A 19,434-nucleotide genomic window follows, 5' to 3' on the forward strand; every position below is an offset into this window, starting at 1 on the left:
CCAGGAGACAGGTCTTAGGGCGGGGCTAAGGTCAGACCCTGAGAAGGGCTCAGGAGGCGGGGCCAGGGTGGGGCGTTGATATGTCGTAGCACGTGGCCAGGCGGTGCTCGGACTCTGGGAGGCGGAGCTTAGGACGGGCCGACGTGGGGAGGGGCCCAGGGTCCGGGAGGCAGGGCCGAGTCTGGGCTGCGGGCTGCACTCAGGAGGCGGGCCCTGGGAGGCGGAGCTTAGGGAGGGGCCGGTGTCGGGAGGGACCAAGGGACTGGGAGGAGGGTCGGGGCTGGGCTCAGGGGCCGAGAGGGAGCTGGGCTTGGGGAGGGGCCGAGACAGATCGAGGGGTCCGGGGTGTGAGAAACGGGGAGGGGTTTGAGGAGGGGATTGGAGTGTGGCTCAAGTTCGGGAGGCTTTACCTGCGGAGGGTTTGAGGCAGGTCCAGGAGCGAGCCCACGGTCTGCTGACACGGGGCCAGGGGCGGGCCCCAGGATTCGGAGCTTCGGGCGGGGCCGAGTCCGGGTTTGGGGCCCGGGAGGCGGGGCCGGTTAGGGCAAGGGTCCCCGAGATCATCGGGTCAGGCCTTGGGCCAACGTAGGCACTCTCGCAGTTCCTCCGCCTTCAGGAAGGTCTTTTTGGCAGGGGCCTTACGGGTGCGCGCTTCGGTCCTGGAGGCGTTATCCTAGCCTCCTCTCCATCAGCGCCACCCGTCTGGGGCCCGATAGGAGGGAGATTTCCCTCTGTCCCCCAGCCTTTGGACTGTCACCAAACAAGCCATTCGTTCACCAAATACTTATTAAGCGCCTACCATGTGTCTGGCAAGGGAGATGTAACAGTGAGAAAAACTAGGTGTGGTCCAGGCCCTCCAGGGGCTCAGGGGCTCGTGGAAGAAGTAGACATTGAAGTACTTATCACACAAATGAGTATAAAAGTACAATAGCGATATCTGCCACGAAGGCGAGCAGACAGAGCTAGCGGGGCTTGCAGGAGGAGTTTTGATCTTGCAGGGATAGGAAGGAGGACTTAGTTCCTGCGGGGTGGGCTTGGGGGTGGTGGTGATAGAGACGTGGGGACAGAGTGGAAAACAACAAAAATATAATTATTTTAGTTCAAAGTTATTGTGTCTTGAGTTGAAAGGCAGGGCAGTTAGCAACACAGTTCAGATTTCAGTACTGCCCCTGAAATCTGAACTGTGTTCAAAGTCTAAAACGTTTACCTTAGCAAATCCCTCATAAAACTCCATTTGGAAGAGTCCCGAGAGCGAATTTGTTAAGTATACTTGCAAAAGGTAGATGAGGAGACAGATAAAATCTTATTACCTCTTTCAGATGAGAGGCACTTGAGCCCTGCTCAGCTATGAGAATAAGAGAGGGGAATTAATTCTAATTGAATACACTTGTTCTCTTATAGCTGTTGTTCCACACCAGAACCAAATGAACGCAAGATCTGACAAAGAAAAAAAGAGGTTCATCTTTTATTCCCCCAAACCCTTTCATTTAAATCAAGAGGGTGGGATGTGGTTATTGCTGTGTTTTTAGGCAGAATCAACGGTTTCTGGGTCTGAGATGTTGCATACACCCTCTCAGTCCCTGTATCCTGAGATGGAGTCACCTGAGAATCCACAGCAAGTCCTAACCAGGGATGGGTCTGGGTGATTAAGGAAGGTTGGCTTCAGAACTGGGCCAGGGGCACTGCTTTGCTTTTGCTGTTTTGATCAGCTCTCTGCCTGCAGGAGACAAGGAAAACCAATGGGAACAGGTTAGTTATACTCATAAATCCTGGGCTTATTTTATTAACTCACATAATAGCTATTAATTGTCTTTCCTCCAAGGAGCAAAAGGGCATATACGGTCAATTCCATAGTAAGTAACACTGTATTATGTTATACTAAAATATTAATCTAGGTTTGTTCAGTCTTTCCTGATTCCGTAGATTGGAAGCGGATTGAAGAAGGACGCTAGTGGACCACAGAGCTGAGCCATGCACACAGAAGAAATCTTTTTTTCTTTTTTTTTTTTGGAGACGGAGCTTTGCTCTCTTGTTGCCCAGGCTGGAGTGCAATGGCGCGATCTCGGCTCACTGCAACCTACACCTCCCAGGTTCAAGCGATTCTCCTGCCTCAGCCTCCTGAGTAGCTGGGATTACAGGCGTGAGCCACTATGCTGGGCCATTTTTGTATTTTTAGTAGAGACAGGGTTTGAACACGTTGGCCAGGCTGGTCTCAAATGCCTGATCTCAGGTGATCCACCCTCCTCTGCCTCCCAAAGTGCTGGGATTACAGGCGTGATCCACCGCGCCTGGCCAGAAGAAATCTTTATCTTGGTGTGCAGTCTCTGGTGAGGGACAAATGTCATCTCTCTTGGATCTGAATCTGGAAGGATCAAGGCACTGAAGGGATTTTTTTGTTTCAGAGAGTCTCCCTCTGTTGCCAGGCTGGAGTGCAGCGGCACGATCTCAGCTCACGGCAACCTCTGCCTCCCGGACTCAAGCGATTCTTCTGCCTCAGCCTCTCGAGTAGCTGGGACTACAGGCACGCGTCACCACGCCCAGCTAATTTTTGTATTTTTAGTAGAGACAGGGTGTTACCATGTTGGCCAGGATGGTCTCAATCTCTTGACATCATGATCCACCTGCCTTGGCCTCCCAAAGGGCTGGGATTACAGGCGTGAGCCACCATGCCCGGCCTCACTGAAGGGATTTTTTTAATGTCACGTGGCTCTCACAGGTGCAGTGTGTTCGGGTGCAAGTGAAGATTACGACTGATGCTTAAAAACAAACGTAAAATTCCAGGTGGTGTTGTTATGGGGCGCAGCATTAGGACAATCTGAGTGGTTTCAGTTGCAAGAGTGTGCGTGTACGTGCAAGAGCTACAGTCAAGATTCAACTTCTGGCTTTGAGGTCTCTTTAATAACAGTAATAGCAACCTAAGTCAGTTTAACAGTATGGAATGGTTGCCTTTTAGAAGTTAAGCTATGGGCATGGAAGTTCAATCAGTACATTGAAGTTTTTCCTTTATCTCTTCTATGGTTAATGGTTTCTGCAGAAAAGGACCAATTGATTTCTTACTAAAACGTTGCTTCAGGGTGTAGAGACCTTTATAGGTCATGTGTCAACTTACAAAAAATTTTTATAGTTCAAATATGAATTACGTTCAATGTAGACTTTGTAATAGAATTGAAGGTTAAGTAAAGTTTCCACTTTCCTTAGGCTGTTTGCAGTGCCCAGCAGGCCCCATCATATCGAGATGGAAGTTATGTTAAAGGAGGAGGTTGGTCAGGGATGGGTAGAATAAGGAATATGCGCAGCTCAGGCTAATGATACAATTATTGAGGTGTAGAAAGAGGGCCAGGCATGGGATAACGCCTGTAATCCCAGTGCTTTGGGAGGCCAAGGCAAGAGGATCGCTTGAGGTCAGACCAGCCTGGTCAACAGAGTGAGACCTAACCTGTACAAAAAAAAAACACACACAAAAAAACAAAAAAATTACGTGGGCATGATGATGTGCACCTGTAGTCTCAGCCACTTGGAAGGCTGAGGTCAGGGGATCCCTTGAGCCCAGGAGTTTGAGGCTGCAGTAAGCTATAATCACATAACTGTACTCCAGCCTGGGTGACAGGGTGAGGCCCTGACTCAAAAAAAAAATCGAGTCAGGGAAAAAATTGGAAATCTTAATCCTCAGTACCCAGGAATGTGACCTTATTTGGAAATAGGGTCTTTCTAGATGTAATCAAGTAATGATGAGTCATCCTGGATTGGGGGCTGCTGGTGAGGGGGCAGATGCAATGACTGGTGTCCTTATAAAAGAAGAGAATGAGGGCTGGGCATGGTGGCTCATGCCAGTAATCTCAGCACATTTTGGGAGGGTGAGGTGGGGGGATCACTTGAAGTCAGGAGTTCGAGACCAGCCTGGCCAATAATAACAATAAAAAAGCCATTTTAAATTCCAATCCACTGAAAGAAAACTGTCCCTTAGTTAATGTCGTGCTTATTGGATCCATGAAGTCTTTGAAAATTTAAACTACAAGGACACTGCTCTCTGTGGTGGTGGAGAGAATACCAAGGATTTAAAGGTCTTTAAGAAAGAGAATGTAGAAATCGTACCCATTGGAAACAGCAAGATGATGATAATCGTACTGACAGTAATAATAAGCTCAAATATATAGAGCTTACTATGTATCATGAATTGTTCTGAATGCGTCATAAATATACGTTCCCTCCTTTACCCTCATGGCAGCCCAGTAAAGGCGCCATTCCCCATTTTACAGCTGGGGAAACTGAATTACAGAGCTTTTCTGCACTGAATCATCAGGAGCAAATGCTAGATCAGGTAATTGAACCCAAGCAATCTGGTTCCAGAGGCAAATAGATGTATTTTTTATGGTATAAAAACATACACATACATTTTTAGGGGAAGGGTGGGGGTAGGATGGGATGAGGATTCTGGGTAATTGCTTGGTAAATGCCAAATACCTTTCTTGTCTGTCCCTCTTTTCAAATGATAATGTCAATTGCAGCACTTTTTTTTTTTTTTGAGACAAGGTCTAGCTGGAGTACAGTGATGCAGTCATAGCCCACTGCAGCCTCAAATTCCTGGGCTCAAGCAATCCACCCATATCAGTTTCCCAAGTAGTTGGGACTACAGGCCCACACTACTATGCCCAGCTAATTATTTTAATTTTTGTAGAGATGGCAGGTGGCGGTGTGGGGGTGTCTCTCTATGTTGTCCAGGCTGGTCTCGAACCCTTGACCTCAAGCGAACCTCCTGTCTCAGTCACACAAAGCTCTGGAATTATAGGTGTGAGCCACTGTGGCTGGCTACAATACTATTTATTTATATTTTGGACCAACAGATATTCTAGCATATAAGAAATGTTATGCTCTCTGTACATTGAAGAGTTGGTCTAATATTTGGCCTGGTGGATACAGAAATTGCCTGTCTGCTCTGCTCTGGTTGAAGAAATAAGTCCGACTGTCTCCGAGGCTATGGAGCAGTCCATCAAGAATAAAAGCCCTCTGCCAGGCACGTTGCCTCACACCTGTAATACCAGTACTTTGGGAGTCCTAGGCAGGTGGATCACTTGAAGTCAGGAGTTTGACACCAGCATGGCCAACATGGTGAAACCCTGTTTCTACAAAAAATAGAAAAATTAGCTGGGCCTGGTGATACGTGCCTGTAATCCCAGCTACTCAGGAGGCTGAGGCAGGAGAATCACTTGAACTTGGGAGGCAGAGGTTGCAGTGGGGAGCTGAGATCACACCATTGCATTCCAGCCTGGGCGACAGAGCGAGACTCTCTCAAAAAAAAAAAAAAAAAAAAAAAAAAAAGAATGTCCTCATGATGGCCTCAAGCACATTGGTCCCTGAAGAGAGTCAAGGAAGGCCCACTTTACTCTGCACTGCAAAGCAAGCAGGTGTACAGGGATCTGAGAAGTGGATTCAGTGAGAGGCATTGACCGAAAGGATTTTCTGCCTTATGGTCAGTTCAGCAGAAGATTAAACTGAGCACAGCATCCTGCTCCCTGAAACCATCTGGTTGGTCAGTGGGGAATGTTCTTGTCTCGTTAAATGTCCTCATGCTACTGTCAAGATATCCTGTTACAAAACGTCATAAACCACGTTTACAAATAGGCCAGGTGACTGTGGAATTTCTCCTTGGCAAGGCTTTAGCTATGGGCGTGCGATTGGTGTGCAGTAATCAGTGTTCCGGGCCACTTGAGGGATAAAATATACCTTAGGTGATAAACTGTTGTATTTTAATGTGAATATTTCCACCAACATTAAACAGTAACCGCATGAGTTTTCTCATACCTGTTACACTCTGGAGTTGCAACAAGCTGACATGAAGCAAGTTGCAAACAAAATTATCGCATTTGGCTCCTATTCACAGCAAGGGTTCTTCAAGCTGTACCTGGGACAGTCTTCCCTCACATGAGGTTTATAGCATCATTTATTTAATTATTTATTTATTTTTTGAGACGGAGTTTTGCTCTGTCGCCCAGGCTGGAGTGCAATGGTGCGATCTTGGCTCACTGCAACCTCCGCCCCCCCGGGGTTCAAGCGATTCTCCTGTCTCAGCCTCCCGAGAAGCTGGGATTATAGGCACCCGCCACCACACCTGGCTAATTTTTGTATTTTTAGTAGAGACGGGGTTTCACCATGTTGACCGGGCTGGTCTCAAACTCCTGACTTCAGGTGATCCACCCGCTTCAGCCTCCCAAAGTGTTGGGATTTCTGGTGTGAGCCACAGCGCCCGGCTATAGCATCATTTAAACTTTGTTTCTGCCATGAATTGTTAGTTGGTAGTTAACAAAAAATAGACAACCTCATTTGTCTCATAGTTAGCATTGGTTTTTGTGTTTTCTTTAGGCTCGCTTTTTAATAGTTTTTAAAATTGTGAAACAGGGTCTTGTTCTGTTGCTGAGGCCAGAGTGCAGTGACACAATCTTGGCTCGCTGCAGCTTCAACCTCCTGGGCTCAAGCAATCCTCCCACTTTAGCCTCCTGAGTAGCTGGGACTACAAACATGAGCCACCACCGCTGGCTAATTTTTAATTCTTAATTTTTTTTTTTTTTGAAATGGAGTTTCGCTCTGTCGCCTAGCAGGTTGGAGTGCAGTGGTGTAATCTCGGCTTACTGCAACCTCCACCTCTCGGGTTCAAGCGATTCTTCTGCCTCAGCCTCGGCACCCACAACCATGCCTGGCTAATTTTTAAAAAATATTTTTAGTAGCGACAGGGTTTCACCATGTTGGCCAGTCTGGTCTTGAACTCCTGACCTCAAGTAATCCACCTACCTCAGCCTCCCAAAGTGCTGGGATTACAGGCGTGAGCCACCACTCCAAGCCTAAGTTTTAAATTTTTTGTAGAGACCAGGTTTTGCCATGTTGTCTAGGCTGGTCTTGAACTCCTGGGCTCAAGTGATCCTCCTGCCTTGGCCTCTCAAAATGCTGGGATTACAGGCATGGCCGTTATGTCTGGCCCTTAAAGCTGCTTTTTAATAACAGCTTTATTGAAAGATAATTCATATACCATACAATTTACCCATTTAAAGTGTATCATTTGGACGGGCATGGTGGCTCACACTTGTAATCCCAGCATTTTGGGAGGCTGAGGTGGGAGGATCGCTTGAACCCAAGAGTTTGAGATGAACCCAAGCAACATGGCAAAACCCTGTCTCGACCAAAAATACAAAAAAATTAGTTGGGCATGGTGGTGTGTGTCTGTAGTCCCAGCTACTCAGGAGGCTGAAGTGGGAGGATGGTTTGAGCCTGGGAGGTGGATGGTGCAGTGAGTTGAGATTGTATCACTGCACTCCAGCCTGGGCAACAGAGCCAGACCCTGTCTCTAAATAAATAAATAAAGTGTATAATTCAGTGGTTTTTAATATGTTCACAGAGTTCTGCAGCCATCATCACCATCAATTTTAGAAATTTTACCCCAGAAGAAACCCTGTATCCATTAGCAGTCACCCCTTATTTCCCTCCAACTATCCCCACCCCTGGCTCCTGGCAACCATTAATCTACTTTCTGTTTCTTTGGATTTTCATATTCTGGGCATATATATGTATATATAGAATCATCTAATATTTGTCTGGCTTCTCTCACTTAGCCTAATGGTTTCAAGGTGTATCCAGGTTGTAGCATGAATCAGCCCTTCATTCCATATTGTGGCTGATTAATGTTCCATCACACGGGTGGACTGTACTTGTTTGCTTATTCATCTGTTGTTAATAGGCATTTGTGTTGTTGCCACCTTTTGACAATTATGGATAATTTTGCTACGAGCATCTGTGTGTGTCTTTGTAGGAACAGGCTTGCATATTTTTTGATATGGGCAAATGAGAACCAGCGGCAGGGGGCCTCTGTGGTGACTTTTTTGGTGGTCTTCGTGTACTCTGTATAATGATCAGCCACTCAGGCTTGGGGGCAGCACTTAACCCTGCATTTCTTTCTTTTTTTTAAGATAGGGTCTCTCTCTCTGCCACTCAGGCCACAGTGCAGTTGACGCAGGGCAGGGGAGCCCCGAAGTGGAGCATAGTGTGTCCAGAACTGGTGGGTTCTTGGTCTCACTGACTTCAAGAATGAAGCCACAGACCCTCGGGGTGAGTGTCACAGTTCTTAAAGGCGGCTTGTCTGGAGTTTGTTCCTTCTGATGCTCGGATGTGTTCAGAGTTTCTTCCTTCTGGTGGGTTTGTGGTCTCGCTGGCTTCAGGAGTGAAACTGCAGACCTTCATGGTGAGTGTTACAGCTCTTAAGGTGGCGTGTCTGGAGTTGTTTGTTCCTCCCGGTGGGTTCATAGTCTCGCTGGCTTCAGGAGTGAAGCTGCAGACCTTCGAAGTGAGTGTTACAGCTCATAAAGGCAACGTGGACCCCAAGAGTGAGCAGCAGAAAGATTTATTGCAAAGAGCAAAAGAACAAAGCTTCCACAGTGTGGAAAGGGACCCCAGAGGGTTGCCACTGCTGGCTGGGGCAGCCTGCTTTTATTCCCTTATCTGGCCCCACCCACATCCTGCTGATTGGTCCATTTTACAGAGAGCCGATTGGTCTGTTTTACAGAGAGCTGATTGGTCTGTTTTGACAGGGTGCTGATTGGTGCGTTTACAATCCCTGAGCTAGACACAAAAGTTCTCCAAGTCCCTACTAGATTAGCTAGACACAGAGTGTCAATTAGTGCATTCACAAACCCTGAGCTAGACACAGGGTGCTGATTGGTGTGTTTACAAACCTTGAGCTAGATACAGAGTGTGGATTGGTGTATTTACAATCCCTTAGCTAGACATAAAGATTCTCAAAGTCCCCACCAGACTCAGGAGCCCAGCTGGCTTCACCAAGTGGATCCCTCACGGGGGCCGCAGGTGGAGCTGCCTTCCAGTCCTGCGCCCTGTGCTGGCACTCCTCAGCCCTTGGGTGGTCGATGGGACTGGGCGCCCTGGAGCAGGGGGCAGTGTCCATTGGGGAGGCTTGGCACTCATCGGGGAGGCTCAGGCCACGAAGGAGCCCACGAGGGTTGGGGGGAGGCTCAGGCATGGCAGGCTGCATGTCCCGAGCCCTGCCCTGCAGGGAAGCAGCTAAGGCCCTGCGAGAAATTGAGCAAAGCAGCTGCTGGCCCAGGTGCTAAGCCCCTCACTGCCTGGGTCCAGTGGGGTGGCAGGCCAGTCTGAGTGCAGGGCCCAGTGAGCCCATGCCCACCCGGAACTCACGCTGGCCTGCAAGCACCACCCCCAGCCCCGGTTCCTGCCAGCACGTCTCCCTCTACACCTCCCCGCAAGCTGAGGGTGCGGGCTCCAGCCTCGGCCAGCCCAGGAAGGGGCTCCCACAGTGCAGCGGCAGGCTGAAGGGCTCCACAAGTGCCGCCGAAGTGGGAGCCCAGGCAGAGGAGGCGCCGAGAGTGAGTTCGAAGGCTGCCAGCATGCTGTCACCTCTCAATAGCACGTGAGGGTTCTTGTCTTTACCCAGGAAAGAATTCAAGGGCAAGCCGGAGGTTTAGAAGAAAACAGCTTTATTGAAGAGGCAGGATTAGAGCCCTGTGACTGCTCCTGTAGGGCAGGGTTACCCTGGAGGCAGAGAGTAGCGGCAGAGAGTTTGCAATCACATTTATACTCACTTTTAATTGCATGCAGATTAAAGGGCAGTTTATGCAGGAATTTCTAGAAAATGGGTAGTAACTTTTGAGTCATTGGGTCATTTCCATGGAAAGGGGCAGTAACTCCCGGGTGTTACCTTGACAATAGTAAACTCACATGGCACACTGGTGGGCATGTCTGATGGAAAGCTGCTTCTGCCCCAGCCCTGTTTTAGCTAGTCCTCAATTTGGTCTGGTGTCCAAGCCCTGCCTGTGGAGTCAAGTCCTGCCTCCTATCTCACAGTGGCGTGATCATGGCTCACTGCAGACTCAACACCCCCGGGCTCAAGCAGTTCTCCCACCTCAGCCTCCTGAGTTGCTGGGACCACAGGCACGTGCCACTATGCCCAGCTATAGTTTTGCATTTTTTGTAGAGATGGTGTTTCACTGTGTTGCCTAGGCTGGTCTCAAACTCCTGGGCTCAAGCAATCTACCTACCTTAGCCTTCTAAAGTGCTGGGATTACAGGTGTGAGCCGCTGCACCCAGCCCAAGCTTACATTTTTAATCTCAAGTCACTTCTCTCTAGGTTTTGATTTCTTCTTTAAAGTGGTGGAACTAAGAGCATCTATTTTATAGGGTTGTTGGGAAGACAAAAATGAAAGAACTGTTATTCAATGTTTAGTGAAGCGCTGTGCACAATTTTGAATAATGAAGTTGGTGTTTATTTTTTATTATTTGTTTATTTATTTTTTAGAGACGGGGTCTTGCTCTGTTGCTCAAGCTGGAGTGCAGTAGTGCAACCACAGCTTAGTGCGGACTTGACCTCCTGGGCTCAAGAAATCCTGCCACCTCAGCCTCCTGAGTAGCTGGGACTACAGGCATGCATCGCCATGTCTGGCTATTTATTTATTTGTTTGTTTTTTGTAGAGATGGGGTCTCCCTATGTTGCCCGGGCTGGTCTTGAACTCCTGGCCTTAAGCAGTCCTCCTGTCTTGGCCTCCCAAAGCACTGAGATTACAGGTGTGAACCACCATGGCCAGCCTTATTTTTATTTTTAAATCAGCCTTATCAAGTTGAATTGGTCATTAATCTTGTATAACAGTAATTTGGGGCAGCATTGGTTGGGCAGAGGGTGGGAAACATTTAGGACCCTGTGGGCTACAACTCGTAGTGTGTGCGCTTATTTTATTTTATTTTGTTTTATTATATTATATTATATTATATTATATTATATTATATTATATTATATTATATTACATTATATTTTTTTGAGACAGGGTCTCACTCTGTTGCCCAGACTGGAGTGCAGTAGCATGATCTTGGTTCACTGCAACCTCTGCCTCCCAGGTTCAAGCGATTCTCCTGCCTCAGCCTCCAGAGTAGCTGGAACTACAGATGTGCACTACCACGCCCAGCTAATTTTTGTATTTTTAGTAGAGATGGGGTTTCACCATGTTGGCCAGGCTGGTCTCAAACTCCTGACCTCAGGTGATACACCTGCCTCAGCCTCCCAAAGTGCTGGGATTATATTCGTGAACCACCGTGCCTGGCTGTGCACTTATGTTTGATTTTTGCAGAACCACCCTTCCCTAATGGTTGTCTCCTAGATCCAAGGTGACTTTATTCATTTTAGAATGAACTTACCCCATTGATAGTGTAACCAGAGTTGGCATACATCACGATTGGCAGAACCCGGTCATGTTTAGTGAGATGGAAGTGTTCTGGAAACTCCTCCTTCTTGTAGACGTGGAGGTGAGGGTACGCATTCTTCAGTGCCTGGTAAAGGGCTTCCTCTTGCCCCCATTTGGGCAGGGGCTTCCCAAAGCCAACGTAGCCCACAATATCAAACTTGACCAAGTCCCTGAACTTGATGTAGTTGGACAAGGGATCTTGTTGACGTTGGGTCTCTTCTTCACGGTGGTCACCCCATGGTCTCATGTGATGATGATGCTGAGGTGCTCTGCAGGCTGTGCTTCTCTGTGGCTCCCACTAGATACCCGATGGTCCTGCCGATTTGCTGAATCATCAACTTCCTGTTCTCTGCTTCTGGCCCGAATCGATGTCCCACGTTATCTGGCTCTCTGTAGCACAGAGTCACAAAGCCAAAGTCTTCCTTGGTGAACCAGTTCATGACGGTATCGACGTTCTCCCTCCGCTCTGTCTCGTTGCTGTTTGGGTGAGTGTAGGACTCCACAAGGGACCGCTTGACAGCCTCACCCTCGAATTTAGCACCTCCCTTGGAATAGTGGAATGATGCCGCTTTGTTCCCCTGCAAGTACGAGAAGAAAATTCCATCAGGGCCATTTCTTATACCTTTCTCACAATCAGCAAAGCTCAAGATGTCTACATCTGTGCCCCAGTCCAAAGGCATAGAAAATATGTGGTCTTTGAAGTCAGACAGGGTGGAGTTAGATTCTGGGCTTCCCCAGGATCTCATAGCATCTACAACACTGTTAGTTACAAGATGTGCTATTATTTTATGGGCTACTAAGCAGAAAAATGCTGCCAACGAGACCGTGACATTCCAGTGATTGTAAGGTGTATTCCAACTTCAGAGATGGCAAAATGAAAAATAGTTCCTTCGAATAGAAGGAGACAGTAATTTCTGAGTTGTTGGTGGTGAATTTGTGCATGTGTGTTTTTTATATATATACACACACATATATATACACACACATATACACATGTACATGTATATATATATGCATATATATACATACATATATACATATACATGTATATATGTGTATATATACACATACATATATACATATATATGTATACATAGTGGTGCAGGGGTACAATCATAGCTCATTGCACCCTTGAACTTCTGGGCTTAAGTGATCCTGCTACCTCAGCCTCTTGAGAAGCTGGGGCCACAGGCATGTCCCACCACACCTATTTTTTTTTTTTTGAGACAGGGTCTCACTCTGTCACTTAGGTTGGAGTGCAGTGGCACAATCTCAGCTCACTGCAACCTCTGACTCCTGGGTTCAAGCAATTCTTGTGCCTCAGCCTCCCAAGTAGCTGGGATTATAGACATGTGCCACTATGCCCAGCTAAGTTTTGTATTTTTAGTTGAGATAGAGTTTTGTCGTGTTGGCCAGGCTGGTTTCGAATCCCTGGGCTGAAGTGATCCACTTGCCTTGGCCTCCCAAAGTGCTGGGATTACACGTGTGAGCCACGGCGCCTTGCCCTAATTTTTTTTTTTTTTAATATTTGTAGAGATGAGGTCTCACTAATTTGCCCAGGCTGGTCCTGAAGTCCTGGGTTCAAGTAATTCTCCTGCCTCAGCCTCTCAAAGTGCTAGGATTACAGGCATGAGACACCATGCCCGGCTGGTGGTGAGTTTTAAAATCTCCCAGTGTCTCAGTGTCTCAGTGTTTCTACCTGTAGAATGCCAAAAAGTAGATGGCATCTTTGTGAGGATTAAGCAGGCTAGCTTTTTAATTTTATTTTTTATTTATTTATTTTTTTTTGGAGACAGAATTTCTCTCTTGTCACCCAGGCTGGAGTGCAATGGCGTGATCTTGGCTCACTGCAACCTCCGCCTCCTGGATTCAAGTGGTTCTCCTGCCTCAGCCTCCCAAGTAGCTGGGATTACAAAGCCAGCTGGCTTTAAGATACGGTGTTGGGCATCACATTTTGGCATGGAGCAGGCACTCTTTTCTTTGCCCCCAGGTGGGACTAAGCCATCACAAGCCTTCCCTGGTGTGTGCAGTGGGTGATGAGTGCTTGCCTGCTCAGCACCCACTTCCTGGTCGGCTGGGTCACATTACTCTGACTCCTCCTTGAGCTTCAGTCCGCGCCTGGTTCAAGATTATTGACTCAACCCGAGGATCCAGAGGTGGGATGTAGCTCTGGCCTGGCCAGAGGACCGAGGGTGCTGCATGCCATGGCTACAGCAACTGCTTCAGCTTTGGGCTCATGTCCTAGTCAGAGCCAATGAGATGTAATCTTGGGATATCTGCTGGGCTGTTGGGAAGGGGACAGGCTGCCCTGCTCATCCCCATTCCTGATGCTGAGGGATCTGAGAAAATCACTTGTAAAATTTGGGGGTGTTTGGAAGAAGGGGAGATTGATGTCTCTTTCTCTCTACAGACATCTGATCAGCTACAGAGCTTGACTAACCTACCCAGAGGCAGAATGATATGGTGGTTAAAAGTGTGCTCTGGGCCGAGATTTTACCACTGCACTTCAGCCTGGGTGACAGAGTGAGACTCCATCTCAAAAAAAATTAAAAAAAGTGTGCTCTGGGCTGGGCGCGGGGGCTCACAACTGTAATCCCAGCACTTTGGGAGGCTGAGGCAGGAGGATCGCTTGAAGTCAGGAGTTTGGGATCAGACCCTATCTCTAGAAAAATGTTTTTTAAAAATTAGCTGGGTTGGTGGTGAATGCGTCCAGTCCCAGCTACTCGGGAGGCTGAGGCGGGAAGATTTCTGGAGCTTGGGAGTTCAAGGCTGCAGTGAGCTATGATCAGGCCACTGTACTCCAATTTGAGGGACAGAGAGAGACTCCATCTCTCTGAACAACAAAAATGTGTGCTCTGGTGCCGCACTGCCTGGTTAGATCCTTTGTCCACCACTTAGATGCATGTTATATAAATGCTCTCCTCAGTTTCCTCGTCTGTAACTTGGGGACGGCAATGCTGCCCCAAGAAGTGGTTATGGGGACTAAATGCATGTGGGCATATTGGTAAGTATTCAACAAGCTTGATTTTTCCTGGAGAGGGAGAAAGAGCATGCAGTGAGATGGCATGGTCAGGTGCATTGGGACAAGGATTATTTCCTCTGGCTTCTGCCTCCTGGGGGGTACAAAGGAGGGATCTGAAATGTGTCTGCAGACCCCAGAGTTGGGGACTGCAGAGGGAAATTGAGATCAGGGACTGTAGTCTGGCAGAAATGAGTGCAGCATGGGGCATTGTGTTCCTTCCATCAGAGGCATGGGGTGTGTTGCAGACAGTCATGAAATGTGGCTGAATCTTGCAAGGGACCCTCGGTCCTAGGGTTGCTGCTAGAGACAAAGACCCCTGTCAGTGGAACCTGGTGACCTTCACCCTTCTCTGTCAGGCTGCAGACAGCAAGAGATGGCAGCAGATTACACCCAGCAGGAAAAGGGCCATTGCTATCCCACAGGTTGCCATAGGAGGAGATGACATCTCTCCCTCTCCTCCTCCAGCAGTGTCAGCTGGAAAAGAGGTGGGTGTGTGTGCACAAAAGAGTAGACCACAGACCATGCTCCTTCTCCTCCAGCCTGCTGGGGCCCCAAGAGAGTCTGCAGCCCTTGGCCAGGGACCGGCTGACACAGGAGAACAAAAGACCTCAGTCTGGGATAACATGGTGGTGCAGTTGATCCTCTGGAGCTCCCTGTGAGATCAGACTGGAGCCAGTCTCCAGCTGAGACCACATTTCACTTAGCTCCTTCCCTGCCATATCCTGTTTTCCTTACTCCTATCTCCTGAGAGTTCTTCCTGAATGAATTACATGCACTCAATCCCTGCCTCAGGCTCTGCTTTTAGGGAACTTGACCTAAGACAGAAATCTTAGTACTAAATAATTTGCAAGGCCTCAGAAGCTCTGCTATCCATAAGCAGGTGAGATATTACCTTCCCTACCACCTGGCAGTCATAGTCTATGATGAGATTCAGCTTTATGGAAGTGCTTCTCTAAAGAACTTCCCCCAATTTAAGATGATCTTAATTTGCTTACTTGTTTACTGTCCATTTAGCTGCTCTAAAATGTGAGCTCCAAATCAGGGGCCATGTCTGGTTGGTTACTCATTTCCTGAGACCTAGAACGGGCCTAGCTCAGAGCAGGTGCTCACTATTGATGGAATGTATGTTGAAAGAATGCATGAATCTCATCTCCTTTTGTGGGTGAAAAACTCATCCTATTCTCACCCTGATTAACTTTCTTTCTTTCTTTTTTTTTTTTCAAAATGGAGCCATGATCTGTCACCCAGGCTGGAGTGCAATGGTGTGATCTCAGCTAGCTGCAACCTCTGCCTTCTGGATTAAACCAATTCTCCTGCCTCAGCCTCCTGGGTAGCTGGGATTACAGGTGTATACCACCACGCCCGGCTAATTTTTTGGATTTTTAATAGAGACAGTGTTTCACCATGTTGGCCAGGCTGGTCTCGAACTCCTGACCTCGTGATCCGCCCTCTTTGGCCTCCCAAAGTCCTGGGATTACAGGCATGAGCCACCATACCCAGCCACTCTTGATTAACTTAATGGAAATATTTACAGAGATTCTTTCTCTTCTGGGTTCTAGCGTCTTATCTGTTACCTCTGCAGGTAATACATTTTCCTTCCTGATGATAGAATTTCTATGGTTGCTTTCACTTGCAAATCCTCTAATACTTATTTATTCCATTTCTGATTGGCATTAGACCTAATTCTCAATTTTTAGTGACATCACTTCGTTTAACTTACATATAAATCGACTTTGCCTTGAAATGTGACATTGACTAGAAGGATGAAACTTCTAACATGCTGTAGAACATAGTTTGACTGGCTAATTTATTATTTAGAAGAAGCTAATATTGTCATTATGAGGGACTTAGGTGACTCTGAAGAACCAGTTGCATTTCTAATGTTTGCAATGTTAAATCACAGATATTGCCAACGTGAAATAGTTTCCATATGCTGTGTTCTCAATACACACCTTTTCCAAAGATATCCCAAGTTGTAGTCTTAGAAAACTGATTTTTCTTATTTGTTCTCACAGGAATTTGGGGAGCTATGTAGGATCTCCATAAAATGAGCTCCAGAAAGACACATGTGCACACACACACACTCACACATGTACCACACCACACTTGACTCTGTTTATTTGGGACCCATGATTATCAGAAGTGCTATTTTTAACAAATACTTCTGAGAAATAATCTGAACACTTAATTGGATGCAAAAGAGTGCGTATTTACTATTCTACCCTTTAATTAGCATAATCAGTGTTTCCAGCAGCAAAAGCAATTGGAAAATCGCTAGTTTTATTAGGTTCATTATTCTCCCTTAGCGTAGTGTGGCATCAGCATGGCTATTATTCTTAAATTCCCTCTTTAAAACAAGGGCTGGTGCTTCTTACAGGCAATTCCTAACTCTTGGGTTTTGTAGAGGGTCCAAAACTCTTTAGAACCTATAATTCAAGGAAAGGCTCCACTTTGGTTTTGCATTTTGACTGGTCTCTTTGGGTGACAGAATTTATGTCACAAGGTGCACATATTTTGGGGAGGCTCATGGACAGCCCACCCTCTTGTGCTTTGGTAGGAAGTACGTGCAGTTAAGGGGAAGGAGTTAGTTACTCATCTAGGGAACAATTGGGTAGAAAGAGATGGACTCCCTGTATTTGAAATTCAGAACTCAAGCTTGGCTCTAAGTGTTTCCTTGCTTTCCTGTGCTCCATGGGAGTCACTGAGCAGAAGGAAGCAAGTTGCCTGAGATTCCTCAAAGCCCGCAGCCCTTTTGGAGGTTACATTGTTATTCTCAGAGCCTTTAGGATGCATAATAAAGACCTAGCTTGGACCAACATTAGGATGAGTTATCTTGCTATTAACATTCTTTTAGGTAGAAGTTGCTTTTAGGTAGAAGTTGGTCCCATCTTGCTCACAATCCTCCAAAGTTTGGAAGTTACTTTCCAGGAGACTTAGCTTGCACTGAGAGCTGCCCTCCCACCCTCTCTCCAAATTTCCTCTTGGGAGTAGCCTAACAAGGTGCTGTCACAGACCCTTGCCAGCCACGATGACCCCACCCAGACCATCCCTCTGCTGTTTCACTCTTTGATATTCTCTGGAGCTCTCTGGGGAGGGGTGAGACCTGCTGTCTGGTTTGTACGGTTTGACCAGGTCTTACAGTCATGGCTGGCTGCCTTTCTCTGAGAACTGGGACTCCTGAACTTGGTGAAATACCTCAGCCATTGATCATATTAAATTATCGGGCACAGTCATTTAAAATCCGAGTCTGCTCCAGATGGACTCTCTCTCTTTCTGCCCTGACCATGAGGGAGAGAGATCGTGAGAGAGAGAGACCGTGAGAGAGAGAGAGGGAGGGAGAGAGAGAGAGAGAGAGAGAGAGAGACCGTGCCCTGACCTGCTGGACAGTGGAGATGCTCGTGGGCTGTGAGCAAGGGATGCAAAGGCTGCCGGGAATCCCATCTTTCCAGCATCATCTGCCAAGGCACATCAGTTCCTGGGTGTCTTGATGGGTTCTGGCAGCATTACTGTCATTGAAGGAAAACATTTTAGCCATATTAAAGGTGAATGCAGCAATCTCCACACAGGCTGCCTGGAAGGGACGCGGGACAAGGGTAGGTTTTCCCTGTGATGGACAGGATGTAGGCGGCCCTCCCACAGCCCTGCCTGGCAAAGCCGATGTGTCCCCAAAAGGCACTGGGGCCAGCTGGAGTGCTGTGACGACGCGGGCTCACCCGGGCCCTGGGTTCGCTCTGATTGCAGCGGTTTCCTGCCAGCTCCTTGGAGAGCTGGCAGATGACCCAGCCCCACAGCAGGAGCTGTGAATGGCAGAACGAGATACAACAATTTGATATCCACTTGCCAGATGAGCCGGGTGTCGTCAGTCGCCTAGCTCTGCGCCAACCTCTTTTTGCACAAACACTTATGCACAACACTTATGCGCCAACACTTTTTGCACAAACACAAGCAACTCAGCCAGGAGGAAAAGCACTCTGATTATGAATTGAGCAGAAGGAAACAAAGTTCTGCAGATAAACACCAATGAGACAAAAAACCACGAATAAGAAAAATGACAGAAAAGGAGAACCTTCCCAGAAGCCTCCTGCCAGTGAACGGCCACCATAGCAAGAGCATGGAGGCCCTGGGTTTTGAACTGTGAGATAAGGAAGATGATGAAAACCTCCCTAGCAGCCAGGCAAGTACAAGATTCCTTTGAAATCCAGATCTAAGCGTTTTGACCACAGAAGTAATATTATGTCATAGATGAGAGCTGTGAGTTGCTGAACCCAAAGTGAGTTCAAATCCGAGCTCTGCCTCCTGCTACCTGTGTGACTTTGAGAAGTTCTAGCACTGTTTTGTGCCTCAGTTTTGTCATATGTTAAATGGGCATAATCACAGCTCCTGCCTCAGAGTTGTTGTAAATTAATACTTGTAAAGCACTGAAATCATCCTGGTATACAGTAATTGTTATGAACGTTATTTTTTTGGAAGGACAGAACTTATTTTCATGGTCTAATCCTAAAAGCCTAAAAAATGTGAGAGAAGAGGAAAGAATCTAGAGTCTCACCATGAGGGGGAAAAGTAAACTTGAAGCAGGACAGGGTCATTGACAATTTCCTGTGATTCTACAGCTGCCTTTTACACTATGGTAGCTCCTAGCCACTTGTTGTTTAGATTTTGTGATTTAGAAATGAATTAAGGCCGGGCATGGTGGCTAACACCTGTAATCCCAGCATTTTGGGAGGCCAAGTTGGGCAGATCACCTGAGGTCAGGCGTTCAAGATCAGCCTGGCCAACATGGTGAAATCTCATCTCTACAAAAATACAAAAATTAGCCGGGCATGATGGCGCATTCCTGTAATCCTGGCTACTCAGGAGGCTGAGGCAGGAGAATTGCTTGAACCCGGGAGATGGAGGTTGCAGTGAGATGAGATTGCACCACTACACTCCAGCCTGCAGGACAGAGTGAGACTCTGTCTCAAAAAAAAAAAAAAAAAAATTAGTTAAAAGAAAATCGAAATTTCAGCTCTTCATTCTCACTAGCCACATTTCAAGGGCTCAGCAGCCCATGTGGGTGGCTAGCAGCTCCCATGTTGGACAGTGCAGAGTAGAGCAAGTCCACCATTGCAGAATGTTTGATTGGACCATGACTGAATAGTCTAGTGCAGTGGTCCCCAATTTTTTTTAGCA

General features: G+C 47.2%; 1 long non-coding RNA gene and 1 pseudogene across 1 annotated transcript, besides 5 other annotated features; one reads left to right on the top strand and one right to left on the bottom strand.

Moving 5' to 3' along the window:
• Positions 151-230: a silencer, noted in NCBI's record as "silent region_15211". NCBI's record gives its function as "represses an Ori minimal core promoter by ATAC-STARR-seq in GM12878 lymphoblastoid cells {active_cell/tissue: GM12878}" and the evidence as "EXISTENCE:reporter gene assay evidence [ECO:0000049][PMID:35858748]".
• Positions 481-550: a silencer, noted in NCBI's record as "silent region_15212". NCBI's record gives its function as "represses an Ori minimal core promoter by ATAC-STARR-seq in GM12878 lymphoblastoid cells {active_cell/tissue: GM12878}" and the evidence as "EXISTENCE:reporter gene assay evidence [ECO:0000049][PMID:35858748]".
• Positions 561-9,905, top strand: LOC105374358 (uncharacterized). Its single transcript, XR_925069.3, has 3 exons — positions 561-1,749; positions 4,257-4,318; positions 7,953-9,905. It is a non-coding gene; the product is annotated as an uncharacterized LOC105374358 (long non-coding RNA).
• Positions 2,306-2,600: a silencer, noted in NCBI's record as "tiled region #9760; K562 Repressive non-DNase unmatched - State 23:Low". NCBI's record gives its function as "represses a minimal TATA promoter and a strong SV40 promoter by Sharpr-MPRA in K562 cells {active_cell/tissue: K562}" and the evidence as "EXISTENCE:reporter gene assay evidence [ECO:0000049][PMID:27701403]".
• Positions 9,180-9,743: an enhancer, noted in NCBI's record as "H3K27ac-H3K4me1 hESC enhancer chr4:3966743-3967306 (GRCh37/hg19 assembly coordinates)". NCBI's record gives its function as "activates a minimal SCP1, AML or CMV promoter by ChIP-STARR-seq in primed H9 embryonic stem cells {active_cell/tissue: H9 hESC(primed)}" and the evidence as "EXISTENCE:reporter gene assay evidence [ECO:0000049][PMID:30033119]".
• ENPP7P9 (ectonucleotide pyrophosphatase/phosphodiesterase 7 pseudogene 9) lies at positions 11,197-11,824 on the bottom strand (annotated as a pseudogene).
• Positions 16,717-17,544: an enhancer, noted in NCBI's record as "OCT4-NANOG-H3K27ac-H3K4me1 hESC enhancer chr4:3974280-3975107 (GRCh37/hg19 assembly coordinates)". NCBI's record gives its function as "activates a minimal SCP1, AML or CMV promoter by ChIP-STARR-seq in primed H9 embryonic stem cells {active_cell/tissue: H9 hESC(primed)}" and the evidence as "EXISTENCE:reporter gene assay evidence [ECO:0000049][PMID:30033119]".

This window comes from Homo sapiens, chromosome 4 (genome assembly GCF_000001405.40).
Source record: "Homo sapiens chromosome 4, GRCh38.p14 Primary Assembly".
Taxonomy (NCBI): Eukaryota; Metazoa; Chordata; class Mammalia; order Primates; family Hominidae; genus Homo; species Homo sapiens.